At 39.5% G+C, this 13,858-nt stretch overlaps 1 protein-coding gene and 1 long non-coding RNA gene across 3 annotated transcripts in view, besides 2 other annotated features; one reads left to right on the top strand and one right to left on the bottom strand.

Annotated features, from left to right (window-relative positions):
• The window catches only part of CYP3A4 (cytochrome P450 family 3 subfamily A member 4), a 27,218-nt gene extending 13,360 nt beyond the window's left edge, over positions 1-13,858 (top strand). The window contains exons 5-13 of one of the 2 annotated variants that reach the window (NM_001202855.3): positions 590-703; positions 969-1,057; positions 2,323-2,471; positions 3,570-3,694; positions 4,382-4,448; positions 6,810-6,970; positions 8,558-8,784; positions 9,844-10,006; positions 12,597-13,858. In NM_001202855.3, coding sequence (NP_001189784.1) covers positions 590-703; positions 969-1,057; positions 2,323-2,471; positions 3,570-3,694; positions 4,382-4,448; positions 6,810-6,970; positions 8,558-8,784; positions 9,844-10,006; positions 12,597-12,692 — 1,191 coding nt within the window. In that variant the 3' untranslated portion in view covers positions 12,693-13,858. Of the gene's footprint in view, positions 1-589; positions 704-968; positions 1,058-2,322; positions 2,472-3,566; positions 3,695-4,381; positions 4,449-6,809; positions 6,971-8,557; positions 8,785-9,843; positions 10,007-12,596 lie in introns of both variants that reach the window. The other variant, NM_017460.6, reaches the window with a different exon arrangement.
• CYP3A4-AS1 (CYP3A4 antisense RNA 1) lies at positions 3,929-6,893 on the bottom strand. The gene has a single exon (NR_198962.1). It is a non-coding gene; the product is annotated as a CYP3A4 antisense RNA 1 (long non-coding RNA).
• Positions 6,914-7,194: an enhancer, noted in NCBI's record as "intron 10 fragment containing CYP3A4*1G SNP (rs2242480)". NCBI's record gives the evidence for it as "EXISTENCE:reporter gene assay evidence [ECO:0000049][PMID:21199372, PMID:25997547]".
• Positions 6,971-7,056: a conserved region, noted in NCBI's record as "conserved region; intron 10". NCBI's record gives the evidence for it as "COORDINATES:sequence alignment evidence [ECO:0000200][PMID:25997547]".

The following is a 13,858-nucleotide window of genomic DNA, read 5'->3' as shown; positions in this document are numbered from 1 at the left end:
TCTCTTTTTTCTTTCTATCCATGAAATAAAAAATTAAGAGACAAGAATGTTTATGGAATTGCATTATTTCTTCAAAATATGTTCCTAGTTTTAAAGGTATTACCTACTATTTTTTTTAAAACCATCACATTGAGGCACTTCTTTTTCACGTTGCCCATGCTGCAGGAGAACATAAAGACAGCTTGTCTGAGGCAACATACAATCCACCAAAGTCACCTGCTTGTCTGTCTCCACTCCGTCTCTACACTGCAGAAGTGCTAGGTCTTGATTCTGTTTATTGTACTGGAAGAACACATTCTCTACCACGTGGATAATTTGCATGTAAAAGAAGACTGGGATATAGAGGCTGGAGACGACATCAGGGTCTCCTGAACACTGCCGCCACCCCCCCGCCCCGCCCCACACAAATACATCCCAGGACACTGGGCATCTGGGATAAATCTCTATTGAGCATCTAGCATAGGGCCCATCACCCAGTAGACAGTCACTAAATAGTTGTTGAATAAGTGTTCCTGTTTAACACATTTTCTACAACCATGGAGACCTCCACAACTGATGTAGGACAAAATGTTTCTGCTTTGAACTCTAGCCTTTTGGTCCAGTGGGATTTATGAAAAGTGCCATCTCTATAGCTGAGGATGAAGAATGGAAGAGATTACGATCATTGCTGTCTCCAACCTTCACCAGTGGAAAACTCAAGGAGGTATGAAAATAACATGAGTTTTAATAAGAAACTTAAAGAATGAATCTGGTGGGGACAGGTATAAAATAAGATCACAGTCCCTTTCCAAGGGGTAGTCCACTGAATTTGAGCTGCCTAAAAATGGTCTTTTATCTTTATGTACAGAAAACACATCACAAAATTCATTATAAAATGTCACTTACTGCTCCATGCTGGGGAAAGCCATGTCCTTCTGGGACTAGAGTCTGCACATTTAACTATGGGTGGTGTTGTGTTTTGTGCTTAGATGGTCCCTATCATTGCCCAGTATGGAGATGTGTTGGTGAGAAATCTGAGGCGGGAAGCAGAGACAGGCAAGCCTGTCACCTTGAAAGAGTAAGTAGAAGCGCAGCCATGGGGTTCTGAGCTGTCATGAACCCCTCCAGCTGCCTGCCATGGAGCTGATATTCCTGCTGTTGGGTTATTCCAGTGACCAGACAAAAGGAGGGCTGTGGTAATGCAACTTCAATGGGTCTCCCAAGATGGGGCAGCTCCGATGAGGAGGTGGGGCAGCTGGAGGAAAAGGATCTTCTCCCCTGTGCACAGGGGCCAGGGTTTACATATCCATTAAATTGTCACCTTGGATATTCTAGAAGACTAAATATATCCTTTAGGGGGAAAAAGTGTGATTGTACCAAAGTTTTAAGCATGGAGTGTATGGGATGGTGGAAGGGGAAGGCACTTGGTATCTGTTGGTTGGCAGTGAGTAGGTTGGGAGAGTTATAATGGAGAACTTAGAATAACTTTGATCATTTCATGTTTTTTTCTGAGGATATCAGTAGAATACTAAATATTAAAATTCCTACCATTTCTTTTTCCTCCAGTCTCAAAGAGAGAGGGTGGTAAAAACACTATAGGTAGGGCAAGCCTATTATTTGCTATCTACACTTATGCAGTAAAAACAGGTGTAATCTGAGTTTGTCCTGGGCAGACCAGGGATATGTGGTCACTCACTATAGAAATTTCCAAATCAAATTTTGAGAGATTTTTTTTTAACCAGGACATTATTGGTCATTATATTTTACAAAAATAATTCTGCTGTCAGGGCAACCTCAGCTCACCACAGCTGGGGATAGTGGAATTTTCCAAAGCTTGAGCAGGGAGTATAGAGAATAAGGATGATATTTCTAGGAGCTCAGAACAGGGTACTGTTGCTTTGTAAAGTGCTGAAGAGGAATCGGCTCTGGGCATAGAGTCTGCAGTCAGGCAATATCACCTGTCTTGAGCCCCTTAGGAAGAGTTAATTATTCTACTCTTGTTCTGCTGAAGCACAGTGCTTACCCATCTTGTATCATCCACAATCAATACATGCTACTGTAGTTGTCTGATAGTGGGTCTCTGTCTTCCTATGATGGGCTCCTTGATCTCAGAGGTAGGTCTAATTCAGTTCAGTGTCTCCATCACACCCAGCGTAGGGCCAGCTGCATCACTGGCACCTGATAACACCTTCTGATGGAGTGTGATAGAAGGTGATCTAGTAGATCTGAAAGTCTGTGGCTGTTTGTCTGTCTTGACTGGACATGTGGGTTTCCTGTTGCATGCATAGAGGAAGGATGGTAAAAAGGTGCTGATTTTAATTTTCCACATCTTTCTCCACTCAGCGTCTTTGGGGCCTACAGCATGGATGTGATCACTAGCACATCATTTGGAGTGAACATCGACTCTCTCAACAATCCACAAGACCCCTTTGTGGAAAACACCAAGAAGCTTTTAAGATTTGATTTTTTGGATCCATTCTTTCTCTCAATAAGTATGTGGACTACTATTTCCTTTTATTTATCTTGCTCTCTTAAAAATAACTGCTTTATTGAGATATAAATCACCATGTAATTCATCCACTTAAAATATACAGTTCAGTGATTTGTAGTACATTTGAAGATATGTGTGACCATCATCATTTTAAACTTTAAAACTTTTTTTGTCAATCTAGAGACCTCATACATTTTTAGCTATCAGCCCCCTGTCACAAACCCTGTCATCATATGCAACCACTAATCAACTTTCTGCTTCTATGGATTTGCCTATTCTGGACACTTCATAGAAATGATATTAATTCATCAGGGTTTTTTATTCTCTAGTTCATGAATTTGTACTTTAGTCTGTATCATTTTCTTTCTTCTGCTGGCTTCAGGCTTAGTTTGCCCTTCTTCGTTTACTATGTTGTGGCATGAACATAGATTACTGATTTGTGATTTTTTTGTTCCTCTAAATTTAGACATTACAGCTGTAACTTTCCCTCTGAGCACTTCCTTTGCTAAATCCCATGAGATTGTGGTCTATCACATCTTAGTTTTTGTTCACCTCAAAACAGTTTCTATTTGCCCTTTTGGTTTCTACTTTGACTCATTGGTTACTTAAATGTTTATTATTTAACTTCCACATATGTGTGAGTTTCTCAATTTTCTTTCCCTTATTGATTTTATCTTTATTCCATGATAGGTGACAGAGATATGCTGTGTTATTTCTATCTTGACTACCTACTATTTCTTGAACAGCAAGATTAATTTTGAGCTTCAGATTATGATTTGGGTTATTCTAGGAGACTGTAGTCCAATAGATAAAGGCAAAGAGATTAGGGCATTGAATTTTGTTCCTTTTATCCTTCAAAAGATGCACAAGGGGCTGCTGATCTCACTGCTGTAGCGGTGCTCCTTATGCATAGACCTGCCCTTGCTCAGCCACTGGCCTGAAAGAGGGGCAAAAGTCATAGAAGGAATGGCTTCCAGTTGAGAACCTTGATGTCTTTTACTCTTCTGGTTGGTAGAGAAAACTAGAATTGCTCCAGGTAAATTTTGCACATTCACAATGAATTTCTTTTTCTGTTTTTGTTTTGTTTTTCCTACAGCAGTCTTTCCATTCCTCATCCCAATTCTTGAAGTATTAAATATCTGTGTGTTTCCAAGAGAAGTTACAAATTTTTTAAGAAAATCTGTAAAAAGGATGAAAGAAAGTCGCCTCGAAGATACACAAAAGGTAAAATGTGGTGGTAGTTATAGGAGGATGTTTAGTTTTTCATAATTTTTTAGATAATATACATATGATCAGTGCAGTTACCTGTATGTTTTTAAAGAATGCTTTTAACATGAAGACTGCTCATGTTTAGAGCAAGAGAATTCATTTGGTAGAAATGCAGAAAGTGGGGTTTGGGGAAGGAGATATGAGAATGAGTCAGAGACAGCACATGAAATTTGATATCAGACACAACAATTAGTATGCCACGGCATAAATTTTATTGAGATAAAACTTTACCACTTTACTTCCCTTCAATAAATTGTCAGAGGATAAACATTACTGTTTGGAAATATATTTTACTGATATTATGCTTTCCCCAGATCATAAATTGGTAAAGACTCATTTCAAGTACAAACCTGTTATTTTACACATTCTCAAATGAAAGTCCCTATCAGGCCACCTGCTGAAGTGTAGCGTGTGTTAAATTTGAGCCATCTCACATGATAGCCAGATTTGTTTCAGGAAAACATCCTGCTTTCCAAGGATTTAGAAGGGTATGTTTTTCACTGGTGATTCAGGCAACATGCATCAGATTTCTGGTCTTCAAGGAGCCATATTCTCAGAAGGGAGATCAAGGACCACGCTTGTGATTTACTTCTGACTTCAGGAGCCACTTTCTGTCAGTGAAATTTCTCTTTTTGCTTCTAGCACCGAGTGGATTTCCTTCAGCTGATGATTGACTCTCAGAATTCAAAAGAAACTGAGTCCCACAAAGGTAACCAGAGTGTTTCTGAGGGCTACTTGTGGGGCACTCAGAGGGAAGGCCTTGTTCTGAAAATGTGCAGGAAGTATTCCAGGATGATGAGAATTTCTGCCACATAGCAGAACGACACATGTTTGAATGTTATAAGTGGTAGTTGGAGGCACTTTCTAGAGGCATGCAGGCATAGATAGCCATGTTCTAAGAGTAAAGGGCAACCCTAAGCAAACCTGGCATGCTAGAAAGTCAGTCTGCGGTCTGTGGATCACCTACATCAGATCAAATGCCAATTCTCAGCCTCCTTCAGATCCACTGAATAAAAATTTCTGCCTAGAAATTTATTAGGTTGCTGCAAAATTAATTGTGGGTTTTTCCATTACTTTTAATTGCAAAAAAATGCAATTAAAAGTAATGGCAAAAACCACAATAACTTTTGCAGCTACCTAATACATCTAACATCCAATCAGGAGCCACGCTGTTCCAAAAGGGGTGATTTTAACTGGCAGTACTTGTTGAAAGTGTGTTCACCAGGTTAATCTACTGCAAAGTTATTTTCCACTTTGGAATGGATTAGTAACTTGTGGGGAAAACCTCTGAGACCGTGTAAATATCCTCTTTGTCTTCAATGTTTCACCTACGAGTTTTACAACCCATGTATGTTTTTTACTGAAGTCACTATTACTATGACAGTGGCAAAATGATGACCATGGTCAATTACAAGCCACCAAGACTTGGCAACCATCTCACAAAATTCCTGAATATTTAACTATTGGTTCTAGAGAGCAGGACTGGGCTTACTCCAGCATACTGCTTTAAATATATCCATGTCTACATCCACTTTTGTCTGTATGTCTATGTATCTATCTATGTATCTATCTAGCTATGTATCTATCTATCTATCTATCATCTATCTATCTATCATCTATCCATCTATCATCTATCATTTATCCATCTATCATCTATCTACTTATATATTATCTATCTATCATCTAACTATTCATCTATCTATCCCAATATAACTTGCTGTGATAAAGGAAATAGTCTATTGTTTTACTGTTTCATATAGAAATCACTAGACACATATGGCTATTGAGCACTGGATATGTGGCTAGTGCCATTGAAGATCAATTTTAAATGGTATTTCAGTTTAATTTAATAAAATTTGATTTTAAATAGCCACTAGTGGGTAGTGGCTACCATATTGGACAGCAGAGCTCTAAACTTTGAGATTATAGTTCAATTTCACATCAGTATCATCAGGTTCATGATAACTGAATACTATGATTAGGTAGTTGAATTTACTTATAACTGCATCACAGAAGTCTTCACTGGTAAATCACAGCTCTGTCGACCTTTCTCACACTCCTTTCATATTGGTTTTGGTTGTGAATTACATGGTTGGAGCAGGCATTATATTTATTTCTATGTTCCAGGTCTCTAAAGGTCCTAATCCAGTCCTGATCAAACAGACCAGTGATGGACCATCCTGAGCTTCTCTCAGGAGAAAAATCAAGAGGGGCCCAACTTGTAATCATAGGAGCTTATGCTATTTTAATGCCATCCATCAGACTACAATCAATTACCACTCATCTAGCTTTTTGTCCATCTCTCATTCTTGTACATCCTGAGATAGTCAATTCTGAGAACTGTAGCCTAGATCTATCACCTGATGCCTCTCAAAGATATAATCCGTGCTTCTCAAGCTAGGCTATGCACACAAATCACTGCATCTTGTGAAAGTTCAGATTTTGAATCAGTAGTTCAAGGGTGGGGTTTGAGATTTTGCATTTCTAATGAGCTCTCAGATGCTTCTGACCCATGGACCACACTTTGAATACCAAGAAGTGGTCTGTAGACCAATATTGGTCCCTTAAGTTCCCTCAAACATATCTTCGGGAAACGTCCTTTGATTTTCCCTACATTTAACCATTAGTGTTGCAAATTCTCTCAAAGTTTGTCAAGATATATTGTAGCTAAAATAAATTACATTTTTCTTGGGGGAGAGTACTACCTCATATTAACTTACAATAAAGTACTTTTAGGATCATTCAAGGAACACACCCATAACACTGAGTATGTTATGCGGAAATGCTCTCTCTGGAAATTACACAGCTGTGCAGGTGGCGGGGGTGGCATGAGGAGGAGTGGATGGCCCACATTCTCGAAGACCTTGGGGAAAACTGGATTAAAATGATTTGCCTTATTCTGGTTCTGTAAGATACACATCAGAATGAAACCACCCCCAGTGTACCTCTGAATTGCTTTTCTATTCTTTTCCCTTAGGGATTTGAGGGCTTCACTTAGATTTCTCTTCATCTAAACTGTGATGCCCTACATTGATCTGATTTACCTAAAATGTCTTTCCTCTCCTTTCAGCTCTGTCCGATCTGGAGCTCGTGGCCCAATCAATTATCTTTATTTTTGCTGGCTATGAAACCACGAGCAGTGTTCTCTCCTTCATTATGTATGAACTGGCCACTCACCCTGATGTCCAGCAGAAACTGCAGGAGGAAATTGATGCAGTTTTACCCAATAAGGTGAGTGGATGGTACATGGAGAAGGAGGGAGGAGGTGAAACCTTAGCAAAAATGCCTCCTCACCACTTCCCAGGAGAATTTTTATAAAAAGCATAATCACTGATTCTTTCACTGACTCTATGTAGGAAGGCTCTGAAAAGAAAAAGAAAGAAACATAGCAAATGGTTGCTACTGGCAGAAGCGTAAGATCTTTGTAAAACGTGCTGGCTCTGGTTCATCTGCTTTCTATTACTACAATAATGCTAAGTAAAAAACCTCCAAAAACCTCAGTGGCATCTAACAATAAGCATTTGTTGCTCACACTCATTTCACATTGGTTTTGGTTGTGAATTACATGTTTGCAGCAGGCACCATAGTGGTGTGTGATGTCCCCTTAGCTGTATCCACATATGGACACAGGAATTTGCTCTTTTTATCTCTTTTTATTTTCTTGGTTACAGACATGTGACTTTTTTTTTTGAAAGGTAACAATCACTTTCTCATATGTTATTTGATGCTAGTGGTCATAGCCTATTAGTCACATTTGTTTCAATGAGAAAGAAAAACCAGTACACGGTTATGCTAAGGATTTCAGTCCCTGGGGTGAGAGCCGTCTCGAATGTCTCCCCACTTCATAACTCCTCCACACATCATAGTTGGATAGTGAGCTCTGCTGATATTGGCAGGACTTGCTCTGGTCTGGCTGTAGTCTGACGGAGCCTGGCCCTGGGTGTGCTGTGCAGGCTGACTCAGCTCTCCCCACACCTATCTCATGTTCCAGTCAGGCAGTAACTGGTGAAGAAGCCAAGCTAGGAACCAGGATATCTGGCTCCTGAGCTAAAGTCTTAAAACACTATCATATTGCCTTCCAAATATAACACCAAATACTAGGTGCATATCACCCACACTGTTTTCAGACCTCTGCCAAAATTGGGATTCTTTGTGGTATGAAGAGACACGGCTTTGGGGCTGGCCCGGCTGTGGCAGTGAGGTGAACACAAAGGGATGTTCTTCAGAGATTACAGTCCAGCCCTGAAGCAACAACTAGGAGACTGTTTCAGCAAGTGAGGACAGGGCTGTGTGGGGTTCTATCCTCTTTATAACTTCCACTAGCACTGAAATCGTGTTCTCTGGTTACATCCAACCAGAACCTTCTTTGTCATTTTTGGGATAGAAAGGGACTAGTTTATCCTCAAATTATTTATGGAGATTTTATATAATATAGTGTTTCTCTCCACATTTTCTGTATATAACAAAAGTCCTCCTTTTAGTGTGTGTATACACATATATATACACATATATATGTGTGTGTGTATGTGTGTGTGTATATATATATAGACATATATACACGGTTATGCTAAGGATTTCAGTCCCTGGGGTGAGAGCCTTCCCGAATGCTTCCCACCTTCATAACTCCTCCACACATCTCAGTGGGCCACTGAGCACAGCAATGGGCATGACAGTTATTAAAACACTTTATAAATGCTTCGATCCTTTACCAGTATGAGTTAGTCTCTGGAGCTCCTAATACTTCATTAGTACTGCATGGACTGAGTTAAAAGTTAATTCAAAATCTCAATTTATCCAAATCTGTTTCGTTCTTTCCAGGCACCACCCACCTATGATACTGTGCTACAGATGGAGTATCTTGACATGGTGGTGAATGAAACGCTCAGATTATTCCCAATTGCTATGAGACTTGAGAGGGTCTGCAAAAAAGATGTTGAGATCAATGGGATGTTCATTCCCAAAGGGGTGGTGGTGATGATTCCAAGCTATGCTCTTCACCGTGACCCAAAGTACTGGACAGAGCCTGAGAAGTTCCTCCCTGAAAGGTACAAGGCCCCTGGGAAGGGAGCCCTCCCTGAACCAGCCTGGTTCAAGCATATTCTGCCTCTCTTAATCTACAGGACAGTCATGTGGTTGTATAATTATTTGCTTGTATTTTTATATTTAGAGATTTTTTTAATCATCAAATTGATTATTGTCACACTTTACAAACCATAGACTAGAAAAAAGAAAACTACAGTCATCCACAATTCCAACAACTTACGATGAAGGTCATCAGTTATGTCCTTATGGGTCATCAGTGTCCAAAATGTAAGGACTCTTTTAAAAACACATGATCACAATGCTATTATTATGTCCCCCAAATGAATATTTTTTTCATAAATATAATCAAATATTTAGGAATAACATTTTAATAAAAAACATGCATCTAATCTTCAAAGAATTTTATAGCTTACTGGAACAGATAGACAAAGAAAGCAGTGATGATACTGCATTACATCGGTACAGTAGCATCATATGCCTGTGTAAATTATCTGACTTCAACTATTCTATGGAGGTGTGGGGGAGAAAGAGGGAGAGATGGAGAGAAGAAGAAGGAGGAGAAGGAGGGAGAAGACAAGGTAAGGAGGAGAAGGAGGAGAATTAGAAAAACAAGAGAGGAGATGAGAAGGAAAGTGCAAAATAACAATTTTGAAATAGTACAAGACAATTTCCCCTTCTCCTTCCTCATGACCAATGTAAGTGTGACTTGAGGCAGGAACCTACTTTTCCATCAGTCAGTCCCATCACTTATGTGCCTTTTATAGTGTGGACACATCACCACCCTGAATATAATTTCAGTGTTTAGAAATAAGTATTCTTTGCAACACTATTTATCTCATCTCAACAAGACTGAAAGCTCCTATAGTGTCAGGAGAGTAGAAAGGATCTGTAGCTTACAATTCTCATAGCAAAATAAGCATAGCAGGATTTCAATGACCAGCCCACAAAAGTATCCTGTGTACTACTAGTTGAGGGGTGGCCCCTAAGTAAGAAACCCTAACATGTAACTCTTAGGGGTATTATGTCATTAACTTTTTAAAAATCTACCAACGTGGAACCAGATTCAGCAAGAAGAACAAGGACAACATAGATCCTTACATATACACACCCTTTGGAAGTGGACCCAGAAACTGCATTGGCATGAGGTTTGCTCTCATGAACATGAAACTTGCTCTAATCAGAGTCCTTCAGAACTTCTCCTTCAAACCTTGTAAAGAAACACAGGTTAGTCAATTTTCTATAAAAATAATGTTGTATTAATAATTCTTTTAACTGAGTGGTCTGTATTTTTTAAAAAGAATATGCTTGTTTAATCTTTTACTAATTTGTTCTCTGGGCCAAAGAATCAATTAGGCCCATCTGTGATCTTTAAGGGTGCTTCAGTTCTGGAGTTCAAAAGCTGTAGCATCAAAAACATCATGTAAAGCCCATGTAGATTAGCATGGCATAATTATCTGCAGTCTCCTTGAACTTGAGCAAAGTTTACATTCAGTTTCAAGTCGATTGGAAAGATGGGGAAGTATTTTGCACAGTCATGAAGTGTAATGATTACCTTGTTGTGACTTTTGAATGCTGCTCTTCCCAACCAGAACTTGGAGAAGCTTTCTCATGAGAGTGGCTCCCAACCACTAGCTGTACATTGGAATCACCAGGGAGCTTTAAAAATTCATGATGTCTGGGATATCACAGAAATTCTAAACTAATTTGCCCAGAGTGTGGCTTTAAAAGCTTCCCCATTGCTTCTCATGTGAAGCCAAGGTTGAGAATGACTAATTTAAGGCATTTCTGGTGGATATAAAGGACTACCACAGTCCAAGGCCATCCTGACTGACCTCACCTTCCAGGTGCCTAGCTCCATCCAGCTGGGCTCCTTTTCAACCCAATTATAACTCTATTAATGTTGTTCCCAGCCAGGCATGGTGGCTCATGCCTGTAATCCCAGCACTTTGGGAGGCCGAAGCAGGCGGATCATGAGGTCAGGAGATCGAGACCATCCTGGCTAACACGGTGAAACCCCGTCTCTACTAAAAATACAAAAAATTACCCTGGAGAGGTGGCAGGCACCTGTAGTCCCAGCTACTCTGGAGGCTGAGGCAGGAGAATGGCATGAACCCCAGGGAGCGGAGCCTGCAGTGAGCCGAGATTGGGCCACTGCACTCCAGCCTGGGTGACAGCGAGACTCTGTCTCAAAAAAAAAAAAATGTTGTTCCCTTTCTCCTCATTTTGTTCTTATCTTTCAAGTCCTAGTTCAATCCCCAAGCCCCTCCAAAGTGTCTTCTCCTCCTAGTCCAGGGCCCATTTACTTCTCTGCTCTGTTATTGGATACTGGAGGCTATTATCATAAATTTGACAATTTGCCATTAAATCATTGAGTTTTATTCTCTATATTTTCTTTGTATCTAAAATGTCTTCCCCCCTCCATTAACAATATCCTCTCATTTTATTCCTTTTTAAAATATCCCAGTGGTGCCTTGCAAGGGACTGTATCTAATGCAAGCATTTGGTAAATGTTTAAGGAGTGATGTGCAGTTGATGGCTTGCATACATATATTAAGCTATTTAATGTGAACCTTTAAACAAATGCCATTCGTGCATATGCATGTGTGTGTGTGTGTGTGCACATGTGGGCATGCATGTCTGTCTGCAGTGAAAATATATTCAGGGTTTTTGAAAATTTTTAAATAATAAGGTATTATATTTATAGAAAGATTTGAAATATTTTCTCTGAAGAAGTTAAAGAACAGACGTCATTGATTCATATTAAACAATACCCTATAAATCTTATTTCTAGGTCTCATGTATTTATTATTCAATTCCACCCCTTAAGTAGGCTTTCTATATAGGAGAGGAAGAAGACAGAAATAGTTTCCATATTATTTCCATATTCCATATTATTTGTGGCTTTAGGCCAGCAGTGTAGCTGTATTATATGTGCCCAGACAGGGGACTCAGCCCTGAATAAAAGTGGTCCTCTGGCACACCTGGGATGGGGAAGGTACTCCTTGGTAAGCTCCCAACCTGGCACTTCTTGATCTCCCTGGCAATTTTCTTGCCCATTACTCCATGGAGATCAGAATATCACTCTGTTGTGTCCCCTCAACACGGAAGGAGTGTCTCAATAAGAATGGGGCTAAAAGTTGAGTCCAAACACTGTAGGAATTGAGAGGTTCCCCACTTGCACTACCCTTGGAAGCCAAGAGAAGATGTTAAAAAATAAAATGGTAATGCTTCCTGAAGGTGTCTTCCCATCTTTACACTGGATGGGTTCAATTGGGAGGAATTACTGGACTCTGGAAGTTGAAGACTGTCCATATAATTAAAATGTACAATAACTACCCAGGTTTACCTTGCAAGTTTCAACATACACAAAATTAACTTTATATGACTCTTCAAAAACAGTTTGCCATCATACCTAATAATCTGGTTTAAATTTTAAAAACTCATCCATTTTACTTAAAATTTAAATCAAAAAAGAACACAGGTTTCCATGAATTTGTCTCAGGCCTGGCACAGAATAGTACTCCATAAATATTTTGTTAAATGATAGATGATGAATGCTCTCACTGTCCAATCTTCACACATCTTATAGACTAAGTATAAAGAATCCAAGATTTATAGTGCTGAAAGTAGTTTTTATATGTTTACAAAGCATTATTGTCATTACTGCATTTTTTTTGCCCATTACTCCATAGAGATCAGAATATCACTCTGTTGTGTCCCCTCAACACTGAAGGAGTGTCTCACTCACTTTGATGCTATACTTTCTACTTTTGTTTATTTAATGCTTCTCAATATGCTTGTTTAACTGTTGCAGATCCCCCTGAAATTAAGCTTAGGAGGACTTCTTCAACCAGAAAAACCCGTTGTTCTAAAGGTTGAGTCAAGGGATGGCACCGTAAGTGGAGCCTGAATTTTCCTAAGGACTTCTGCTTTGCTCTTCAAGAAATCTGTGCCTGAGAACACCAGAGACCTCAAATTACTTTGTGAATAGAACTCTGAAATGAAGATGGGCTTCATCCAATGGACTGCATAAATAACCGGGGATTCTGTACATGCATTGAGCTCTCTCATTGTCTGTGTAGAGTGTTATACTTGGGAATATAAAGGAGGTGACCAAATCAGTGTGAGGAGGTAGATTTGGCTCCTCTGCTTCTCACGGGACTATTTCCACCACCCCCAGTTAGCACCATTAACTCCTCCTGAGCTCTGATAAGAGAATCAACATTTCTCAATAATTTCCTCCACAAATTATTAATGAAAATAAGAATTATTTTGATGGCTCTAACAATGACATTTATATCACATGTTTTCTCTGGAGTATTCTATAAGTTTTATGTTAAATCAATAAAGACCACTTTACAAAAGTATTATCAGATGCTTTCCTGCACATTAAGGAGAAATCTATAGAACTGAATGAGAACCAACAAGTAAATATTTTTGGTCATTGTAATCACTGTTGGCGTGGGGCCTTTGTCAGAACTAGAATTTGATTATTAACATAGGTGAAAGTTAATCCACTGTGACTTTGCCCATTGTTTAGAAAGAATATTCATAGTTTAATTATGCCTTTTTTGATCAGGCACAGTGGCTCACGCCTGTAATCCTAGCAGTTTGGGAGGCTGAGCCGGGTGGATCGCCTGAGGTCAGGAGTTCAAGACAAGCCTGGCCTACATGGTTGAAACCCCATCTCTACTAAAAATACACAAATTAGCTAGGCATGGTGGACTCGCCTGTAATCTCACTACACAGGAGGCTGAGGCAGGAGAATCACTTGAACCTGGGAGGCGGATGTTGAAGTGAGCTGAGATTGCACCACTGCACTCCAGTCTGGGTGAGAGTGAGACTCAGTCTTAAAAAAATATGCCTTTTTGAAGCACGTACATTTTGTAACAAAGAACTGAAGCTCTTATTATATTATTAGTTTTGATTTAATGTTTTCAGCCCATCTCCTTTCATATTTCTGGGAGACAGAAAACATGTTTCCCTACACCTCTTGCATTCCATCCTCAACACCCAACTGTCTCGATGCAATGAACACTTAATAAAAAACAGTCGATTGGTCAATTGATTGAGCAA

This window comes from Homo sapiens, chromosome 7 (assembly GCF_000001405.40).
Source record: "Homo sapiens chromosome 7, GRCh38.p14 Primary Assembly".
NCBI lineage: Eukaryota > Metazoa > Chordata > Mammalia > Primates > Hominidae > Homo > Homo sapiens.
Note: the sequence above shows the minus strand (reverse complement) of the source record. Positions and strands in the feature narration are given on the sequence as shown.